Source organism: Homo sapiens, chromosome Y, assembly GCF_000001405.40.
Source record: "Homo sapiens chromosome Y, GRCh38.p14 Primary Assembly".
NCBI lineage: Eukaryota > Metazoa > Chordata > Mammalia > Primates > Hominidae > Homo > Homo sapiens.
The window spans coordinates 8796783-8818913 of record NC_000024.10 but is presented as its reverse complement, the minus strand read 5'-3'; the positions used below and the strand labels follow the sequence as shown (position 1 = coordinate 8818913).

The window sequence follows — 22131 nt, the reverse complement described above, 5'->3', positions numbered from 1 at the left end:
GAAAAACATGTTGGAGTATGTAGACGTGGGAACTGATGAAAGCTACTTTGGAACTACTTGATAATGGAGTCAACAAAGAGGAGCAGAGTACATGGTGGGAGTGATTCTGAAGATATCATTTAATAGCCTTTATTTAGGTACACCAGAAGCAAGATATATTCCTTCATTGTTAAATTACTTGCACCAGTAAGTCCTCATCTTTACTTAAATTTGAGACCAGATTTCAGTCACTGTTAGAAAAAGTGAATCCTAAGATGCAATTGAAAATAATTACAATATAAGCTACCATTGATTGTCTGCATATGTGACACATACTATGTTGAATACTTTGCTTTTGATATTTCATTTAATACCAATGACAACCCTATGAGTCAAGTTCTAGTCTTCCTGTTTTACAGATTAATAAATAATTTTATAAATGTTGCTCTTGCTCATAATAATAGGGCTATCAGTTGTTGAGCACATTGAGTTTGCCAGGTATTATACTAGGATTGATATACATGTTTAGATATTCATTATAAAATAATATATTGAGGTAGGCATTGCCACTAGCCTCAAGAAAATGAAAACTCAGAGATTATAGGACTTGTCCAAGTTCAGATATGTAATAAGCAACAGATAGAAAATTGAAATAATAACTTGTTGACCTTTGTTTGAAAGATATATTCATATTAAGGAGAACTGGATTCCATCCCTGCATTCAGCTCTTATTAAATTTGCAAGTCTGTTTTCTTTGAGCCCTATTTTCTTCACAGTAAAATGAAGACAATAACTCCACACATTATCTACCTTCCAGAGATATTAAGGGACTCAAATGAGAAACTAAATATAAAAGTAAGGCATAATTCCCCATAAAAATGTAAGTTACTACAGTCATTATAATTCAGTAATAAAAATGTGTCCCACATTCTGATGATTAAACATATCAAATCAAGAATTACATCTTTCTAAAACAGAAATTTATAGAGTACACTTTTTGTCATATTGCTGTGCTGGTTATCAAGAGATTCCCATGCCATTACTTTCATTGTAGTGATGTGTACAAATTTAAATTGGTGTTATTCAATTTATCACAGAAGGGTACTACATTATGTCACTTGGTGTCAATTATTTTCACCTTTAACATTTCTGTTGAACAATTTTTTATTTCAACATAGCTACCAGGTAGGAATGTACTGGAACCTAGAAACAAGACCATCGCTAAGGAAATTTGAAGACTGAGCTCACTTAGATATATCACTTATAAGCTGCGATCTTGATCAAAGTATAGATAAATTATCGGCCTGTGTTTATATCTTTAAGTTTGACAATTGACGATAATGCATACCAAAGAGAAATTGGAGATTTTCCTAGAAGAGAAACAAGTCTCATAGCCATAAATATGCTCTGAAGAAACAGAAGCAACAGAAGAAATCTCCTAGGAGACAGCTCAGATTCATGTCTCTGATTCCAGTTCTAATGGGTAAGGATAGAACTTGAACAACTTTACCTTCCATGAGAAGAGAATATGCAGAATCCTGGCTACAGTGAAGATGGAGCAAGAATCATCTTGTAACAGGAATAGTCAGGTGGGCAGTTGCCTTCCATGGAGGACAGATCACTGATGTTAGCAGCTTTGGGAAGGAAGATGGGTAAGAAGTTTACTCATTACCTTTATGTCATAAAGCAGAAGTTCTGAGGAAAAGGAAATCATCTCCCAACTTGTCTGTGCCTTCTACTCAACCCCTTTCTATCTAGTGTAGGGCAGAAAGGCCTCAGAGAGGTCAATGGGAAAACCAAGAACTGGACATGAAGCAGAGGATGGGTTCAATTGCCTGTAGAGTAAGCAGATGATTATTAACCATCTATACTCAGTATTAGGGTAATTTTTCCGAAATTCGACCAGAATTCCCTGTTCTCATGGCTCACTTCCTCACCTCCATTCCAAGTATTTACTCATATGTCACCTTCTCAGAGAGGTCTGCCTTATTTAAAACTGCAACTTTCCTCTGTTATGCCTTCTCCAATTCCTATCCTTTTGCAGTGTTCCATTATCTTTTATCGTTTCCCATAGCATTTAAGACACTATATAATTTACTTACCAAGTTTATTGGTTTTTTGTATCCCCTTCTCCCAATGAGAATGGACATATTGCCATCCGCTTTGTTTCCTAATGTTTTCACTGATGCACCACAATTGCCCACCAGTGAGAAGAAGAAGAGCAGCCCTGACATCAAAGAGCTGATGTGGTCATATCAGCTGGGCCTGGGTCTTGCTAGGTGCTGGTCTATCACTTATGGCAAGGTCTTGGTGTTCTTTTGTTGAACATGAACAATTTCACAGAGCAGCAACATCAAATAAGGCCACTCTGTGACCATGATGGATGAAGACAAAAGCAACACCACTCCATAATCACATCTAAATCCATATATAACAGAAACGTTGTTCAAGTCGGAAAAAAATGACCAAATATCCACCTATCTAGGCTGATGTGAGTGATCACTTCTTCATCAACTACCAATTTAAACTTGCTCTATTTTCCCCTCCTTCTGCATAAGACTTATTGAAATACCCCATCATAAAATAGCTCTTGCTTTCTGACACTGCCTTGCTTACATAAACCTTCCCTCAAGTCTCCTAACATAAACCCAAATCCTATAAACTATTTTCTTATACGTTACTAAGACATCTTATGGTATGCATTCCCCTTTCATGCTTCAGCGAAAAATAAACCCAAGTGGTTCAACCATGGAAGTGTTTCTTCTGGTCTTTGACTTGAGATAATGGGAGGTAGGTAGACAAACAATTTTCATTGAATCAGTTTTCTGGATATCCCACCTAAACCACAAAGGGTTTAAAATTATGGCTACTCCAGATAAATGTAACGTTCCAACTTTATACTTTGGTGCACCAAGCAATGTTAGAGCTCTCCTGCCTTTCACATTGCATTTCCTTATCTAGTGAACAAGGCAAAGTAATGATAACTATCCTCTCCATTGTCTTAGGATGATTTTTCTACTGTCCTGTAGTTATTAAGTGAATCTCTAAGTCAAAGTATGTGCCAGCTGACATACTGATTCTGGATATGAAAAAAAGACCCAAGCACCAAGCTGTCTTGTGACTCATGAGCCTTCAATGCCTATGGGAAATGCTGAAGATCATAAAACCAGAAAGGCAAAAGAAGGAAAACTGATGGAACAGGGAGAGTGTGGTTCAAAGGAAAAAGAAGGATTGTTGTAATGGCAACAGTGTTATTTCCATCTTTTAAAATAATTGTCTCCTCTGCCCCCATTTATTAAACGTTGATTATTTTACTATAAAGTTGGGAGAGGGCTCATATGAACAGAATATTGTAAAATATTATGCTGAAAAATATACATTTATGTCATAAAAATTATATCAAATATTTACAACTTGGGGTGAATGAATGAATAAATAAACATTTGTACACAGATTCTATATTTTTCTAAAACTGTTATAAACTGATTCTTTTTATTCCACCCCCTCACAAATTTATATGTTGAAAAATTATCACTTATGTGGTGGTATCCAAATGTAAAATCTGTATGATTAGGTCAGGGTGGTCAGGCCCTTATAAATGAGATGAGTGCCCTTACAAAATAAGCCCCAGAGACCTGTCTTTCCCCTTCTACCATGTGAGGACCCAGCTAGAAGGCAACATATATGAACCAGAAAGTGGCCCCTCACCAGATATCTCCTCCTCTGTCATCTTGTCCTTGAACTTCCCAAACTCCAGAAGTAGGAGAAATGCACTTCTGTTTTTTTTGTTTTTGTTTTGTAAGCCACCAGTTTATGGTATTTTGTTATAACAGCCTGAATGAACTACGACAAACATCAACTGCTATTCCCTCAAATAAATCATTATGGAGTGGCATCTGGAGGCATGCAATGTGTTCCCAAATCTGAAAATTGTTTAAGGGTATACTAAATACCGGGAATGAATGCATCCCTGGGTCTACGTTATCTGGATACTTATTTCAATTTAAAAAAAAATGTTAATTAGCTTAGAATAGTATCCATGTGGAGAAACAAAAACATCTGTGAAGGATATGAGAATTTTCTTCCAGTAATAGATTGGCTATTATTTCACACGAAAGAGGACACTAGTTCTATAAGGCCTGAAGAGACAATATTAGGATGTTAGCAACGAACATGTGAAGCCAAACTTTGGCTCATCAAAAGAAAGGTTTTCTCACAGATATATCTCTCTCAAACTGGTTTAGGCAGCTCTCTGGATATTGTGAGCTTCCTCACCCTGAAAGACATCAACTGAGACTGGATGACCACCTGGCAGGAGTGACGTAGAGGCCATCAAACACTATAACTCAAGTAGGAGAATATGGCATTTCCTATCCTCTCCCAGGCTGAGGAGTCTGTGAGACTATTAAAAAGAACAAATTGAAAAGTGGCACCAGTTGAACAGAAGTTAAGTGATTACACATTACACTTGACTTCATGCAATTAAAAAGTATGACCTCAGGTAGAATAGCCAGTTTTTCAGTTTTTTTCTGGCAGTCCTCAAGTATTTTATGACCAGAAGGTAAGGGCTATTACAATGTCCACTTCACTGTAGAGTTAAAAGAAACTTCTTATAAATGAGTCACCACTCTAATATCTCCTTGCCTAACAACACAGCTGCTACTTGACAATTTTTCTTTTTACATTTTTTCCCCATATTTTTGGACTTAATTCAAACCCAGTACTTTAACGTTCATTTTAGAATTGTAGTATAATAATCAATTCAGAAAAGAAAAAATATATGAGGAAAACGACTCTTCACATTAAGCAAGGAGGCATGGAAAGGAGGAGTGATTTGTTGCAGAATGGGAGTATTTACCACATGTCTGTTTTATACCAGACCCTGTGCTAGGCATTCTGCCTACATGATTTACTTTTCATGGTAGACCTGTGATATCAATAAGGTTGACTCTATCTAACAGAAACATACATTGGGGTGATAATAATATAGTTCACATTTATTGCATCCTTATTACCTGCTCAACCTTATTCTGAGCACTTTGCATGCCTTATCACTTTTCATTCCCATTGCAACTCGGGGTTGGTAGATACTTTCAATTTTCTCATTCTGCAGTTGAAGAGACTAAGATCCAGAGAGTTGTGGCAACTTTCTCATAAGCAGTAGAGCCAGGTTTTAAATCCAGACATTTTGACTCTCAACCATATTAGACATTTTAAGACAATGGAATCAGAAGTTTATATACTGCTATTTTAATGAGTCCTACGTACATGGTAAGAGTGGTCAGACGGTGATAGGGAGGATAGAGTGCTAAGTGGGAGCTAAAGTGCAAAGACCAGTGCTGAAGGAAAGACGTTTTCAAATATAGTCAGATTACCGAAAGGCAAAGAGCAGACATGTGCCTGAGTATGTTTTCTTACATCTAGGTCTCAAAGTGAAATTCAGAAAACATTTATGAAGAGCACTTGAGCAACTGCAGTTTCTTTTTCATGACAGCTTAAGAACCAGAGAAAACTATTGAATGATAAAGAGCAAAAGGTAGAATTGAGGATGAAAAAGAGTCTGGTGAGGCCAGTTTCCTTTCTGCCTCAATGTTCACAGAGGTAGATATAAGACTTTAGGAAGGACCCAGTTCCCTGTCTTTGATAGTGACTAGAATAGAGTTGGGAGGAAAACCGCATTCTGTACATTTGAAAAGCTTGCAATGCTATTCTTAAATTATTCTTTTAAAAATAGTCATAATGGAAAGAATTCCTAATGATAACCTAGATAAAAAAATCTGGCTTTCTGAATTATATGGAAAATTCTGCACAGAGTAATCCTTAAAACAACCATACCTACAGATGGCAGGACAGGATATGGGTTTTTAAGAGGCAGTGATCCAGCGTGTGCTGTTAGTTGGCTAGAGAGTTTTTCCCACAGGTCACAACCTGTGGGTGTGTAAGATTTCCTCAGTAAAACCACCTGAAACACATGGGGTTCTTGCTGCAGCACTTTCTCTATTCAGAAACAATGGGAGTTCAGTATAGTTAAGCTTCCAAGTAGAGCAGTGAAAATTGTAAAATTTTCATGGCTAAAGTGTCAGGATTCAAGCAAAGCTTTGATGACCTAGCTCTCAAACAGCAGGAATAACTGGAGAAAGCAAATAAAAGTTGCAGGAGCTTTGTTGAACTGCAAATAAACAGCCTCCCAGGGACAAGAAGAGAGAACACAAGATAAGACAAGCTGCAAAATTGAGTGAGCTACTTTGTCATTATAATCAGAAGTAGAAACAGATTGTACTAGGTGAGGTTTTGACCTCAGGCTACACATTTCCGTCTCTGAGCCATGGTTTTATTATCAGTAAAATTATACTCACAACTCCCCTACATAGAAAAATAGGCACAAAAGAAAATGTGTGATAAAACCCTTTAGAAATTTTAAAGTATTTAACATGCTAATGAAAACACTCAGTCCTTACATTGGGACTGTTGATTTTTTCTTAAAATAGTTAGAAGTTGCTGTTTTTCTTCTTTATGTAGTAATATTGACAGAAGAGTGAAATTAATTGTGTAGATTGTTTCTTCAATGTTGATTTCCATAAGTTCAGTAGTGGAGGGGTTTAACTTGCATTTGGAAGATTGCTCAGTAAAAGTTCTGTCCTTGAATGTCAAGAGAGGGTAAGAGAACAGCTGGGCAAGGGAGCAGACACTGAGCTAGTCAGGTTGACAATTGTGTTGCTGACTAAGGATATTAGAAAAGTCGGTGAGAGAACTCAGGAAATTTGATGCTTATGAAGGGATCAAACAATAGAGTGGGGGAAAGGGATTCTCATTAACCAAATTTATGGATGTATAAAATTGTATCTGCAATCTGCTTATCAACCAGTTCAGCCTAATCAGAAGGAAGAAAACTAAGATCTATGAGAAGTTGTAAATCAAAGAATTGTGACATTTTCATTGATCAGTACAAAAGGACCAATAGATCCAGAGTTATCAATCTATTCACAACTGAGCCCAGCATCAAGATGCCTGGAATAGATTTATACTAGTAATTCAATGTGATAGGGTCAGAAGAAAGCTGCAGTATCAAATTAACTAAAAATAATTTAAATCAGTTCCTTAGAAAAGTTTCTCCTGAATTATCACTCCCAAGAAATCAGGTTCCCTTATAATCTTTCATTGCAGCCTTTAGTATTTATTCATATTGCCTATGAGTTGTAATGATGTTTTCATGTTGTAGCAGGAGAAGCCATAGACAAAACCCCTCAGACACCGAGTTAAAGAAGGAAGTGGTTTATTTAGCCAGAAGCATCAGTAAAACTCCTGTCTCAAGAGGCTAGCTCCCTGAGTGAGCAATTCCTGTCCCTTTTAAGGGCTAACAACTCTAAGGGCGTGCACGTGAGAGGGTCATGATCGATTGAGCCAGCAGGGGGTACGTGACTGGGGGTGCATGCATGGGTAATTAGATCTGATCAAAACAGGACAGGGGTTTTCACAGTGCTTTTCTATACAATGTCTATAATCTATAGATAACATAACTGATTAGGTCAGGGGTTGATCTTTAACTACCGGGCCCAGAGTGTGGTGCTGGGCTGTGTGCTTGTGGATTTTATTTCTGCCTTTATTTTTTACTTCTTCTTTCTTTGGAGGCAGAAATTGGGCATAAGACAATATGAGGGGTGGTCTCCTCCTTTATTCCCCCCACCCATTTTGAGAATCTTACTCAATAGTGGGAGTTCTCACTTTCATTCTCATTACCCATGTCTTCATGCAAGACAGATTGATAGTGATTCATATAGTACACTTGTGCTGAAGCATTTTGGTGAACTATGATAGTGATGAAGCTTTTTATCATTTGAAGAAGTACAGATAGCAAAGAAGGGAGCAGTAAGCAGGATCCTATTACTATTGTAACTCCTATTATAAGAGTTTTAAATCCTCCTAGTGCTGGGAACCATTTTCCAAACATGGCCCCAGGATCAAATCCATGCCACACTTGCATGGGCACATGTTCCAGTTTTGTCATATCTCTAACTATGTCTTCAACTACTGGCCCCTGATCACCTTTGTGTAGACAGCAATTGGTAAGGTTAAATTTCCCACAGATCTTTCCTTCAGCTGCTACCAAGTAGTTGAGAGCCAATCTATTTTGATGATAGCATTTCTCTTCGAGTTTCTTGTGAGGCCAGAATAGTCAAGGCTCTGCCAGTTTTATTAGTGATTATTTCTAAGATATCTTGTAACCATATTATTCAGTTGATCATGTAAATGCGGGTCCAGTATTCACACGAGACATCTTGTGCCCAAGTAGCAGGCCCATAATATTGTATTATTCTCTCAGGAGGCCATTCAACATCTTTCCAATTTCCTATAGCTATGCTCCTCTTTTCGTGGGAAGCATAGACAGGGAAGCCCAGGAGTTCACCTGGTTTTATGGGCAGTAGGAAGAAAGATGGTTTAATAGAGCCAATAACACAACTACCTGCCCACCAGTCAGGTAATTTGGCATAAGCTACATGCCCACATATCCAGTATAATCCAGTGAGGGCTGTCCAGTCCCTGTGGGACTCTGGGTGGGTCTACACAATTTGCAGCTTTGGGAATTTACTAAATGGATTCCTCTCTGTGTGATTTGAACTCTACCAAGTGACTGTTTTTGTGGTACCAGTTGACAGTTTTTTTTCCAAGACAACTAAGTTGTCCTAAGGGGTGAGTTAATTATTTTCCTTCTCTAGCTATGAAATATTATCCAATAATTAGGCTTTTATGACCCAGGAGTTATCAGGGTGATTCTTCTGAGCCAGGAATTGCGTCTGTATGTACTAATTCTTGGGCTTTCCGTGGCCATAGATCTCCCATTACAGTTTATCCACATACATAACATGAAGTGACATTGAGAGACTAGGCTGTATGCTCGGCTAATTGCAAAAACAAATTTCTTGTTTTTCCTGGAATTTTTGGTACTGGCACATTTAATTCATCATAGAAAGTTTGACACACTTGCTCAGGAGAGTGCTTGTAAACTTCTCCTTGAACCAAGATATTTACTGGAGGATCCAGTCTGGCCCCATTGATTCCTAAGGCCACACACTCCCCCTTTTTCAGCGATGATCAAGGGGATTGGTTTTTGTTAGCTCTAAGGGGTTACATTGTCCCTTGGTACAGGAAGGTCCATTTTTCCCTTTCTGAAGGTGGACTGAATCCCTTTCATTTTTTATCCAAGTGGTCCACATGAAACAAGAGCAGTATCCACATTCATTTCCACAGAGTCCTAAATCATGACAAATGTACTTATTTTTGGTCATATAGCCTTTTTTCCAACAAAAAGAGCCAATCCCCTTTCTAACTTATTGCTATTAATGACAGCACAGGGATCAAATTTCAAGATTATCCTTTCAGGCTCCTCTTTTTCTTCTTTATTGGCTAATACTTAACTTGTATCATTTATGAGTCCCCACCAGTCTTCAGTCCTTAATCTTATTTCAAAAACTGTGGACATGGGAGGCTCAGAGGGGTCCTAACACACATCTGATCAGTCATTTCCTGGGCTACATACCTTGTACTGAGTGTCATTATATAAACATTTTCCTTTTAAAGTTCCTAGGCATTCATAGTAACTATAGAACAGAAATATTGTTTTAACTTGTTGCCCTAACTTGGTAACCTGATATATACACTGACAGCTGTCCTCCATGTGGGGAAAAACAGTGGAAGTTTTTACTACACAAGTCCAAATTATAAGGAAAATGAGTCCCATGATGATTGTTCTCATGCTTCAGACATTCATAAAACAGTCAGCTTCTGGGTGTGACTGGAACAGGTCTTATTGTCCTCCTCAGAGTCGCTTTGCTGGGTTGTCTGGGCTCGGTTTTGCCTCCCAGGTTTCACTGGCTGCAGGTTTCACACAGCTGTGGTGGATCCAGGCTGGGATTCCTTCTACGTTTACAGCCATGGGGGTGGTCAGGATGATGATCTGAGGTCCTTTCCACCGTGGCCCCAAAGGGGCTACGTTCCAGTCCTTGGTCCACAAGCAATCACCTGGAGAGAAAGGGTGAACTGGGCAGAATAAGCTGATGGGACACCTCTCATTTACCCAAGTTGAGATTGTTTGTGTAATTTTTCCTAAAGCCTGTAGTTGTCGCTGTAATTCAATTTCACCTAACTCTCTGGGAGTGCCTGGAAGCTCCCATAGTATAGGAGGAGGCCTATGGTACAGTATTTCATAAGGACATTATCCTGTTTTCTTAGAAGAAGTGCATCTAATTTTAAACAATACCATAGGAAGGGCTTGTATCCACTTGAATCCTGTTTCCTGACTTACTTTCCCTAAACAATTTTTGATAGTCTGATTCATTCGCTCCACCTTTCCAGAACTCTGAGGTCCATAAACAGCATGTAGCTTCCAAGTGAGTCCTAATGCCTTTGCTGTCTTCTGTACCAAGTCAGGCAAAAACGCCAGCCAGTTATTTGAGCTGATTCATAAGGGCAGTCCAAACCTAGGAATAAGATTTCAGAGAAGCAGATGTTTTACCTCGTAGGCCTCTTCAGTTCTTGTTGGATAAGCCTCCACCCACCCAGTGTAAGTACACAGAAGAACCCGCAAATACTTGTTACCTCTACATTGCAGCATTTCTGTGAAATCCCCCTGAATATCCTCAAAAGGAGCTGCTCCATAAGCTTGTATGAATGGTGGAACTGTGGGGCCTTGCCTCGCATTGGCTGTTGGCAAGTAACACACCATCGTGCTACTGCTTTGGCAAGTGCTGGCAAGTGTGAGATGTAGAAATACTGGCCTAACAATTCCTCAAGTGACTCTTGTCCTAGATGAGTGTTTTGTGCATGTTCAATACGACTGTGACTCCCAGCAACTGTGGCAGAGCTACCCTCAAATCTGGCAGTCTGATCCATCCTCCTTTTATTACTTGCCCCACTTCTGCATGGAAGAAGTCTTTTTCTACCTTAGAATAGGCAGATACCAAGTCAGGGATTTGAGGGAGTAAGGGGATAGCTACTGATGCCCAGTAAGAAGTAGATGCTGCTTTTTGAGCTTCTGAATCAGCTCAAGGGTATCCTAAGGCCACTGAGGTGGAGGATCACTGGTGTCCACTGCAGTGCAAGACTGCCACCTTCTGAGGTTTCCACACTGCCTCTAATAATTTTAGAATTTCTTGTTGATATTTTATGTTCTTTCCCTCAAAGTTTAACGGCACTTTTCCTTACATAATGCTCTATGCACATGGAGGGTTAGAAAGGTGTATCAAGAGTCAGTGTAGCTGTTTACAGTCTTACCTTCACTGAGTTCCAGAGCCCAAGTTATTTAAGCAATGAGTTCAGCCTTCTGGGCTGAAGTGTCCTGTGGAAATGGTTTGGCTTCAACGACAGTGTCCAATGTTACCACCACATATCATGCACATCTTTATCCTTGTGGATTGATAAAGCTGGTCCCCTCCATGTATAACTCCCAGTCTACTGATGCCCATGGCTTGTCCCGAAGGTCAGATCTGCTAGAATTGACTGAGTCCAACACCTCTACACAGTTATATGCAATCAGTCTCTCTGATACTGGAAGCCTGGTGGCAGGATTTAGGGTGTTACAGATTTCAATATCTATGTGCAGATTTTCACATAGCAAGTTTTGGTACTTGGTTAATAGAGCATTTTTTAGCCAATGATGTACTTTCGTGTTCATCAAAGTTACCACAGATGGGGGGCCTTTTCATTCAGGTTTTGCCCAACGGCAATTTTATTTGCTTCTTGTGCTAACAGGGCTGTTGCTGCCAGGGCCCTTAGACATGGTGGCCAGCCTTTGGAAACCCCATCTAGTTGTTTTGAGAGGTAGACTACTGGCCTTGGCCAGGGCCCCACAGTCTGAGTTAAAACTCCAACTGCCATTTTTTCTCTTTCTGACACATAGAATGCAAAGGGCTTTGTCAAATCTGGTAGTCCTATGGCGGGGGTCGACATAAATTTTTCCTTTAACTTACAAAAGTCTTGCTATTGTAGAGGCCTCCATTCAAAAAGCACCCAGTCACCCCCCTGTGTAACCCTGTACAAAGGTTTTTCTAGTACTGCAAAGTTAGGAATCCATAATCTGCAAAACCCCACAGCTCCTAGGAATTCCTTTACTTGTCTTCTGGTTCTAGGTTCTGGTAGGCTGTATATGACCTGCTTTTTTCTGACACCAGGCCGCGCTCCTCTTTCTGAATAGTGAATCCCAGGTAGCATACCTGCTGTCTGCAGATCTGAGATTTCTTCTTGGAAACCTTATACCCATGGTCCTAAAGGTGCCAAAGCAGGACACTCTTCCCTTTTGCACACCCGACTCCATGGAGTGACCCAGCAGATGGTTGTCCACGTACAGGATCAAGATGCAGCCTAGGTCTTCAGGAGGAAACTTTTGCAGGTTTCAAACCAGGGCCTCCCCAAAGATAGTAGTGGAGTTCTTGAACCCTTGGTGGAAGCAGGGTCCAAGTGTACTAAGTAGTGACACCTGCTTCCAGGTATTCCTACTGAAAGGCAAAGAGGTTCTGGCTCTCAGGATCTAGTCTGATGCTAAAGAAGACATCTTTTAACTCCAGACAGGTAAACCAGCTGTCCTCAGCCAGCAGCAGCCCTAAAAATGTGTAAAGGTTAGGAACTGTTGGGTGCAGAGTCACTGTAGCTTGGTTGACCAAGCGCAAGTGCTGTACTGGCTGGCAGTCTCAGGGACAGGCAGGAGGGGTTTGTTCCATGGAGACTGGCAAGGAACTATAATTCCATAGGCTATCAAGTACCGGAGATGAACCTGGATTCCTTTGAGAGCTTCTCTGGGAACCAGATACTGCTTTTGTAGAATTGGTTGGGCTTAACTTTTATGAGTATGGAGGCTTTGTTGACCATCAGTCCCAGAGGATTATCCTCTGCCCATACTTGGAGCCATCACTTAGCTAGAGCTGTTTTTATCTCTTGGCCTAGGTTGGTTAGAAAAAGTCTCCATTCTTCTTCCCTGGGGACTGCAAGGGCCATGATAACTCCTGTTCCCAGTAACTTTAGCATAAAGAGCCCTGTTTTGTAAAGGAGATGGTGGCTCTCAGCTTGCTAAGCAAGTCTCTTCCAAGCAAGGGCAGATGAAAGTCACACATGTACAAGAACTGGTGAACTATCTTAGGTCCCCCCACTGAGCAGGTCCGTGGTAGACAGAAAGTGTGCTTAGTGGAAACTCCTGTTGCTCTGATTATATCAATGGTTTTCTTGAATAAGGGGGTGACCAGGGTGGTCACTACTGAATGTTCAGCACCAGTATCAACCAAAAACTTAATGTCCTTGCCTCCAGTTGTAATCCTGACCTTGGGCTCCTTAGGGGTGCTTAAGCCTGGCCCCTTTCAGTCCAGTAGCCCTTCAGCCAGCTTGAACAAAGCTCCCTTGTCTTTATCTGAGGTCTTTTGCTCTGAATAAACTTGCTTTTCCATCATTTGGGGATACTTATCTTTCCAATGTCCTATTTCCTTACAATAGGCTCATTGGTTACATTGCCAGCATTGGTGGTTAGACTGGGTATTCTTCCCAGAACACCCCTTTCCCTCTCCTTTCAGGGGAATTCCCATAATGGCTGTGGCCAATAAGTAGGCATTTTGACTAGCCTTCCTTAAGGCTTTCTCTGTGGCTTGTTGCATCTCTATTCATAAACACTTGATTGGTTCTTTCCAGTAAACATGAGGTATTCATACCTGCAAACTCAGCCTGTTTCTGCAATTTTCTCCTGATATCTTCTGTGCTTTGACTAACTAAGGCCATATTAATCATACGCTGATTTTCAGGACTAGCTGGATCAAGAGGAGTGTGCAGACGGTAAGCCTCACACAGTCTTTCATAAAACTGTGCTGGACTTTCCTCTTTTCCTTGGATGACCTCAGAGACCTTATTTACATTTGTAGCCTATTGAGCCCCTTTCTTTAGACCTTCTATTAATGCCTCATGGTACCATCTTAGCTTCTCCATGTCTGGTCCCTCATTCCGGTCCCACTGGGGGTCTGTTCCTGGCAGTTGAATTCTTATATACTCTTGGGGGTTTTGGTAATCAGCTAGGACATGCTCTTCTAGCCACTTAGTTCCCACCTGGAGCACCCTTTGCCTTTCATCTATATTAAAGAGGTACATAAGCAGCTGGTGGCAATCAGCCCAAGTAGGATTATGAGTCTGTACAATGGTTTGGAGCAAGTCAGTTAAAGCTTGAGGCTTTTCAGTGTAAGATAGAATATTATTTTTCCAATTGAGGAGGTCAGTAGAGATGAAAGGTTGAAATACAAAGGCACGCCTTTCCAACATGTGTCCATCCTCATCTACCCCAGTACATTGGTGCTCTCTCAGGGACATTTGGATTCCAGTCTCAGGCTGTAAGCTAGCTGCCAAGGGAGGAGTTTCTCCTGCAGTTTCTCTTCCTCTTTTGTCTAGTCTGGGTGGTCTAGGGGTGTGGTTATCTGGTGAAGGTGGAGGTGCTGTGGGCTTAGGGGTGGGGAACACTTCCTCTTGATAAGGAGTGGGTACTTCTGGTATCAATTCCTGCCATGATTCTTCTGGTGTTGGGTCGGACAGGACTTTTGGTGCCGACTTCCCTCTGTGGGTGGAGAAAGAACCTTCCTTAACTAACTCTCCCTTTGCTACTACTACTGCTGCTGCCTGTCCTCTTAACTACTGTGGGGGCTCCAAAACCAACTGTAACAAAGAATCTATATATGGGACTGATCCAGGTGCCCTAACTTACAGGTTACCCTGTGCCATACCTTTGAGACAAGGGACATGCCCAGGCTTCCTTCTGATGGCCAACACACCTCTAATGCTGGCCAGTCTATCTCACACAAAGTTCTAAGTTTTTCTGGTGTCATGGTGACTTCATAGTCTCCCCTAAATCCCTTTTTGAAAATTTTCAACATAGTTCCTAGTGGGGTGGGCTTAGTTTGTGCCTGATCCACGTTTCCTCTAGACAATACACCATGCTTACACCACACGCACACCATAAAACAAAGAATGGGTAAAAAGGGCACACACACACTTTTACAGTTTACACCAAACCAGAATCAAAACCAAAATCAGAGTATCAAGAAATCCAAGTGAGGTCAAATCCAAAACCAAAGTCTCAAGCAATCCAAGTCAAGTCAAAAAGAAAAAACAAAGTGCTGTACAGACACACCATGGGTTATCAGGCCACGCTTCCACTGAAATGGAGTGGGCAAGTTCCCAAGACTAGTCTTACCAAGTTTCAGTTATCTGGACTCCAAGTGCCAGTTCCTTCCCGGTGTGCAGGCACTGTGTTGATACTCCACAGGGCCCTGCCATGCACCGCTTTGGCAAAGCATTCCACCAGGGCAATTGCCTACCTGGGAGCACTCTCAGGATCTGCATCCCTCCAGTGGGCCAGAGTCCCCCACAGGGATGCTCCACAGGGCAGACCTAAGCCACCTAAGGAGCTGACTCAACTCTCCATTAATCATCTTGCTTCTTGGTGAGGGAACCAAGAAATGTAGCAGGACATGCCACAGACAAAACCCCTCAGACACCGAGTTAAAGAAGGAAGCAGTTTATTCAACTGGGAGCATCAGTAAGACTCCTGTCTCAAGAGCTGAGCTCCCTGAGTGAGAAATTCCTGTCCCTTTTAAGGGCTCACAACTCTAAGGGGGTGCCTGTGAGAGGGTCTCGATTGATTGAGCAAGCAGGGGGTACATGACTAGGGGCTGCATGCACAAGTAATTAGATCGGAACAAAACAGGACAGGGATTTTCACAGTGCGTTTCTATACAATGTCTGTAATCTATAGATAACATAACCTATTAGGTCAGGGGTTGATCTTTAACTATCAGGCCCAGGGTGTGGCACTGGACTGTCTGCTTGTGGATTTTATTTCTGCATTTTAGTTTTTACTTCTGCTTTCTTTGGAGGCAGAAATTGGGTATAAGACAATATAAGGGGTGGTCTCCTTTCTTAATGTGACTGTTTATTTAATATCTGCCCTCTTTCCCCATTAACAAGCTCATTGAAGGTAGGAACTATAGAGCTTGATAAATGATTAAATGGAGTAATATAAAAAATAAAATATCAAGCAATGAGCAAGGGCTATCTTTTTTGAACTACAGTGGATGATTGACTGGTACTCCCTTAGAAAGTAGTTCAGTGCCTAACAATGCTTACAGAAAGAATACACAGTCATCAAGTACAGTTTACTTGAATTGCAGGCATAGCTCCTGGTTAAACAGAGAATCCATTCCAAAGTTTCCTAAACTTTTCTGAAGATAAAAATCACCCCACATACGTGATTTACCAAACTACACTTGGCCAGGCCTCCGAGTGACTGAATCACAATCTCCAGGTAAGGAGGCTGGAAAGCTATATATTTGTCAGTCAACCAAGAATATTCTTAGCAGCAAGAAAATTTGAGCAAGCCTGATCCATAATAAAGTGCCTTTAAGTTTGTTCCTTAATTATTCTGCATTAGAATTACTTGGGGGCAATTCTGAAGTGCACAGCATCCTAGGATATATGCCAGACTGACTAAATAAGAGGCTCTGGAAGGGGTACATAAAATAAATTTACATTAAAACAATATTTCTGCAGTTCAATTCAATGGATATATATCTGGATCAAAATTTGATAAACTTTTTTTCTACAAAGGAACAGATAATAAATATTTTCACCTTTGCAGGCCATACAAATTCTGTTACACTTATCAACTCTGTCATATTACTGCAAAGCAGTCATAGATAATAGTAATTAACAAATGGGGCTACATTCCAGTAAAATATTACTTATAAAAGCAGGCATCATGTTGCATATAGACTTTGGGCTACAGTTTTCTGACCTCTCATCTAAACCATTTCAAACTGATTTATTGATGCTAATGCCTATCCTTTCTTGATTCTAAGGCACAATCAATTTTAAGATATAACATCTAATTTTAAAACAGTGTGTAGATACCTGGTTAGCCATATGCAGAAGAATTAAACTGGACCCCTACTTTGACAATATACAAAAATTAACTTAATATCAATTAAATATATAAATGTAAGATTACATATTATAAAAGTCCTACAAGAAAACTTAGGAAGTACCATTCTTGAACATTAGCTTTGGCAAAGAATTTCTGGCTAAGTTCCCCAAAGCAACTGCAACAAAAACAAAAATTAATAAGAGGGACTTTTCACTCACGTCCACGTGAAGAGACCACCAAACAGGATTTGTGTGAGCAACAAGGCTTTTTATTTCACTTGGATGCAGGCAGACTGAGTCCAAAAAGAGAGTCAGTGAAAGGAGATAGGGGTGGGGCAGTTTCATAAGATTTGGGTAGGTAAAGGAAAATTACAGTCAAAGCGGGGTTGTTCTCTGGTGGGCAGGGGTGGGGGTCACAAGGTGCTCTGTCGGGGAGCTTTTGAGACAGGATGAGCCAGGAGAAGGAATTTCACAAGGTAATGTCATCAGTTAAAGCAAGGACTGGCCAGTTTGACTTCTTTTGTGGTGGAATATTATCAGTTAAGGAAGGAACAGGCCATTTTCACTTTTGTGATTCTTCACTTGCTTTGGGCCATCTGGGCTTATATGTGCATGTCACATGATGGTTTAGCTTGGGCTCAGAGGCCTGACAGGACTTAATGAAACTAAAAAGTTTGTTCACCACAAACAAAGCTATCAACAGAGTAAACAGGAAACGTAGAGAATGAGAGAATTTATTCTCAAGCTATGCATTAGACAAAGGACTAATAGGTGTAATATAAAGAATCTATAAGGAAATTAAACAAATCAATAAGCACAAAAAAAACCATTAAATAATGAGCAAAAGACATGAACAGACACTTCTCAAAAGATATGTACAAGTGGCCAAGAAACATATGAAAAAATGTTCATCATCACTAATCATCAGAGAAATACAAATAAAAAACACATCAAAATATCTCACACCAGTTACAATGGCTGTTATTAAAAAGTCAAAAAGCAACAGATGCTGGTTAAGTTATCAAGAAAAGAGAAGACTTATACTCTGTTGGTGAGAATGTAAATTAGTTCATCCACTATCAGAAGCAGTTTGGAGATTTCTCAAAGTACTTATAATGAAAATATCATTGGATCCAGCAATCCCATTGATGTGTAAATAACTAAAATAAAATAAATTATTCTACAAAAAAGATACACGTACTTGTTTTTTCATCACAGCACTATTCACAATAGCAAAGACATGGAATCAACATAGGTGCTCAAAAATTGTGGATTGGATCAAGAAACCGTGGTACATATAAACCGTGGAGTGCTACACAGACACAAGGAACAACAAAACCATTCCCTTTGCATTGACATAGATGCAGCTGGAGGCCATAATCATAAGCAGATGAATACAGGAACAGAAAACCAAATATACGTTCTCACTTATATTTGGAAGCTAAACATTCAAAACACAGACATAAAATAGGAACACTAGACACTGCAGACTACTAGATGGGGGAGGGAGGCAGGATGGGTTGAAAAACTACCTATTTTGTACTATCTTCACTACCTGGGTGACAGGATCTGTAACCCAAACTTCAGCATCACATAATATACCCATGTAACAAATCTGCACATTTACACACTATATCTCAATAAAAGTTGATTTTTTTTAAATAATGGGCTTTATGAAATGTTATCAAATACACATAAATGCCTGTTGATTATATTACATCCTGAAACTTGCACCACAACAGGCCAAGACTCTCAGTTCATCTTCCATCTCCACAGTGTTCTAAGCCCAAATAATCTTTCACTGTATACCTTGGAACTCTCTGTCTATTATTAACCATATCTATTTTATTCTAAATCTCCCTTCATAATGTTTATCTTATATATATTCTCTAACTTGATTTTACATTACCCTTCAGAACCCTGATTCCCATTTACCGCTGTAAGTGAAAGTTGTTTTCTTTCTTACACTCCTCATATCTGTAGGCTCAGAGATTGGAGTGGATGTCTTCCTATTTCTATTGCCATTTTCAAACCTTTCATGTCTCACTTCAAAATCCCCAGATCCTGTATAGTGTAAGCCATCAAATCATACCAATTGCAATTCTTGTTTTAACTATGAAGCCTTCTCTATTTTTCTTACCATTTATTGAACGATTTGTCCCCTAAATAATTTATATGCCTCTCACCATTCTTAGTGGCTTCAACACCTATATCTTAGAAAATTCCTCAAAGAATATGATTTCTCTGATGTAATTTCAATCCAAATGTCATCCATCCAACCTTAGTGATATATGCCTATGGTTATTTCTCAGACATTGTCATTATTTAAATTTTTATCTTCTCCAAAGTATCAATATTTTATGTCATTATCTGCCACCTCATATTCTTCTCACTCCCTCTAGTGCCTTGAAAACAATTATTTGACCACAATGGGACTACCAACACATTGACTGTCTCTATTAATTCCTCTTCATTAATGTCACTCACTCCCAGGCATTCAATCCCGACTATTGTTTTACTTTATTCCTTCATTCAACCTGCTCCTCTTTAGAGAAAAACCCTTCAAAAGTGTTATCTATATTTTTGGTTTCAAATTAACTCCCTAGTCTACTCCAGTTACACTTTGGATCTCATTATTCCATTTTTAAACAGTTTTTTTCAAGGAGACCATAACCACCCTCTTGCCATGTCCCATGGTCAAGTCTCATTCCTCATCTTATTCAACTTCCAGTCACATTTGACATCACAGATCACACCCTCTTTCTTGCAACATTTCCATCATTTGTCTTCTGGGCCACTACTCTCTTAATTTTCCTCCTACCTCCCTGACAACTCCTTCTAAGACTCTTCCTGATTTCTTTCATAAACCTCAAAACAATTGGGTGCCCTGGGACTCATCCCAGAAGGAATCCTCTTTTCTTTTCTGTTTATATTCACTCTTGAGATTATCTCAACAAGTCACATAGTTTTAAATACCATCTGCATACTAGTAGCTCTCAACTTGCCAATGTGCAATTTTAGCCCAGAATTATCTCCCAAATCTGAACATGTATATTGAGCCGATTTACCTCTCTATTTGGATGTCCAATAGGCTCCTAAATGCTAACATAATCCAAGCATGATCCTTTCACAACTCCCCAGCAACGCTCTGCTCTTCCCATAGTCTTCCTTATCTCATTAAACTTCAACTCCATGCTGGCAAATGCCTAGGCTTAAAACTTGGCGGAGCTTGCAGTGAGCCGAGATCCCGCCACTGCACTCCAGCCTGGGCGACAGAGCGAGACTCCGTCTCAAAAAAAAAAAAAAAAAAAAAAAAACTTGGAATAATTTTTTAGCTTTCTCTTACACTACACAATTAGTCCATCAGCATATGCAGCCTGGCACATCTTCAAAATACATTCATAATCTGATGACTTACACTGACACCCATGTTCACGTCATAATTGTTTCTTTTCTGAATTGCCTACACTAATAGCTTCCTAATTTGTTTTATGGCTTCCACTGTCCCATGCCCCAATGTATTCTATACACACTGTAATGAGAGTTTCATTTTTAAACAAGTGCTATTATGATCCCCCCATGCTTAAAACCATCAGATGGTTTCTTATCTTACCAAGAATAAAATTTAACCTCCTCAATGTGGTCTATAAGGTCTTGCATCATCTGGGCTCTGGCTAAGTCCCTAGTTCTCATTTCCTACCACTCTCCTACTCACTTACTTTGTTTCTGTAGCAATAGACTCCTTGCTGTTCATTGAACAAGCCAAGCACATGCCTATATCAGAGCCTATGCACTTGTTGTTCCCTCTACCTGGAACTCCCTTTTCTCCAGATAACTACACAGCTTCCTCACATCACTCAGGCCCTCCCATCATTCAGGTGCCTGATAAAATGTTATATTTTTAGAAAAACTTTTCCTAAACCCTCTGTATTAAGTAGTATCCCCCTATCTACTTTTATTGTCTGTCAACTCTAAAAGAATATAAACTCCACAAAGGCAGAAATTTCTACCTACCTTGTTCACTGCTAAGCTCCCAATCCTTAGTAGCCATTCAATAAATGTTAAGTAATTAAATGTGTAAGTAATCTTTAAAAGGTCAAAGAAGACACCTTCTAAATGAGAAAATAGCTTCAGAAAATGATTTAAATAAATAATAAAGCAGGGAGAGAGGCTGAGGTGGGCAGATTCTCTGAGGTCAGGAATTCAAGAGCAGCATGGTGAAACCCCATCTATACAAAAATTACAAAAATTAGATGTGCATGGTGGTGGTCAACTGTACTCCCAGCTACTCAGGAGGCTGAGGCAGGAGAACTGCTTGAACCTGGGAGGTGGAGGTTGCAGTGAACAGAGATTGTGCCACTGTACTCCAGCCTGGGCAACAAGGTGAGACTCCATCTCAAATAATAATAATAAAATTATAGCATGTTAGAGATTTAATCAGTAACTTAAATTAAATGCACCAAAAATTTTAAAAGAATCCAAGGGTGGCATTGTGGAGCTATTAGTCAAAAAATGTAAATAGTCATTAAAAATGATGAAAGGATGATAGTTGGCATCTATAAGAGTTTCAGTGGAGATTCTAAAGTTAAGAATGACAAATCTTACCTGGATATGAGGCAAGTTAGTGGGAGATAGATATATAGATTACCTGCTTTATTCAAGAAGACACAACACATTCATGAAAAGAGAATGTGCTTTCTATAAGTATAATCATGTTCAGGTGATTAACATGATTGAGCACTTCATAAATAACTGTGAATACCTAATAAATGAACAAAATATAACAAGCAAATATATTATTTTCATTTCCAAAGTACCTTCACATAAGCTTCAACTGGAGTTACCGTGAAGTTGACAAGCCTGTTTTTGCCATGAATAGACAATTGCCTTACAAAACAAGAAGAAAATAATAAGGGAAAATTGCTTTGGACAGAAAGTACAAATGGAGAAATTCCCAGGGTTCAGTATAATCTGACAGTTTTTATAAGTGATTTGCAGGAAAGAATGCAATTGACACTAACCTCTTCTGGGGATAGTGAGATGCCAAACTGACAGGGACAGAATGCAAGAAAATTACATAAGGCTACATCAAAAAGGAACAAAATTATAGATAAGATTCATTATTGACAAGGGCAAGAAAAAAATTCTCACAATTCTATTTCAAGCTGTGAACTGTTACTTTTTTATTATTATACTTTAAGTTTTAGGGTACATGAG

General features: G+C 39.6%; 1 long non-coding RNA gene across 1 annotated transcript in view; it reads left to right on the top strand.

Moving 5' to 3' along the window:
* Positions 1–1531: 1531 nt before the first annotated feature.
* The window catches only part of TTTY11 (testis expressed transcript, Y-linked 11), a 34070-nt gene continuing 13470 nt past the window's right edge, over positions 1532–22131 (top strand). The window contains exon 1 of the long non-coding RNA NR_001548.2: positions 1532–1568. This is a non-coding gene — a long non-coding RNA (testis expressed transcript, Y-linked 11). The remainder of the gene's footprint in view (positions 1569–22131) is intronic.